This window comes from Homo sapiens, chromosome 3 (genome assembly GCF_000001405.40).
Source record: "Homo sapiens chromosome 3, GRCh38.p14 Primary Assembly".
NCBI classification, from domain to species: Eukaryota; Metazoa; Chordata; class Mammalia; order Primates; family Hominidae; genus Homo; species Homo sapiens.
The window spans coordinates 39,533,614-39,535,146 of NC_000003.12; positions in this window are offsets into that span (position 1 = coordinate 39,533,614).

The window sequence follows — 1,533 nt, forward strand, 5'->3', positions numbered from 1 at the left end:
CATTTATTATACAGAAATTACAGGATATGAAAGAAAATAAAGATCAAAATACAGTAGTACTAGGCAAAAAAGCAAAGAGGTAGAAGTCTTAATAACAAAAGTAGTAAGATAGATGTGATGGACATTTATGAATCTATTATCCCTGTGAATATAAGTGACAATGGTAGATTTGAGAAAATGACCATATATTAGCCCTCAAATAAAACCTTAATAAATTCCACAATGAAAAAAAAAAGAAGGAAACAAAGAAGAAATTAATAATAACAATGAAACTCAAAAGGATCTTTTCCCCTGGGTATTAGAAACATCACCATCACCATCACTTCTCTTTAAGCAACTTTTTTTTTTGTTAAAGAGGAAATACAAACCAAAATTATAATATTCAGAGAAAATGAAAACACAACAAATCATAAGGAATATAGCTAAGCTGTGTTGAGATGAAAGTTAAAAGCCTTAAGTTCTTGTGTTAGTCTGCTTGTGTTGCTGTAAAGGAATACCTGAGACTGGATAATTTATAAAGAAAAGAGGTTTATTTGGCTCATGGTTGTGCAGGCTGTACAGGAAGCATAGGGCTGGCATCTGCTTCTGGGAAGGCCTCAGGAAACTTCCAATCATGGCAGAAGGCAAAGGGGAGCCAGGGTATCATTTGGTGAGAGAGGGAGCAAGAGAGAGATGCCAGATCTTTCAAACCAGATCTAGTGCTAACTCATAGAGTGAGAACTCACTCATTAGTGCAGGAAGGCACCAACCCATTTATGAGGGGCTCACCCCTGTGGCCCAAACACCTTCCAGGGATCACTTTTCAATATGAGATCTGGAGGGGAGATATCATTCGAACCACACCGGTTCTCATATCAATGAAAAAATAAATAGTGAAAGTACACGAAATAAGCACCCCACTGAAAATGTTAAAAAAAACAGCAAAATAATCCAAAGAAATAAAGAAGAAAAGAAAAATGAATATGAAAACAAGTTTATGAAGTAGAAAAGAGAAAACTTAATAAATCTGAAAGTTTATCTCTTATTTTTTTCAAACCCAGATCTTTGATTCCATCTTGCAAAGTACCACACTGTTCTCTGGAGCAGCCTCTGAGAGAGGCTGTTTCTACTGAGGAAGGAGAAAGTTTGCCACAGCTGTGAGTGGAGGGCACATGTCGGCTACCTTAGTGAAGATCCACTGTCTCAGCGTCCAACCTACTAGTCAGAAAAGTCAGTTTAGTGATTGGTGCCCACTCAGCAACTAACTTCCTTCCTTCCTTCGTTCCTTCCTTCGTTCCTTCCTTCCTTCCTCCCTTCCCTCCTTCCTTTCTCCCTCCCTCTCTCCTTTCTTTCTTTTGTTCTTTCTTTCTCGCTCTTTCTTTTGTACTTATGTAAAAGAAAACTACTAGTTGATATAATAAAAAAAAGAAGAAACAGGTTAATGAAATAAAAACTGATATGAGAAAAATAATGACAAAAACAAAAAATTAAAACAATCATAACAGACCACTTTTCTCAAATCTGAGGAAAATCTTTGAAAATCTGAGTAAAATG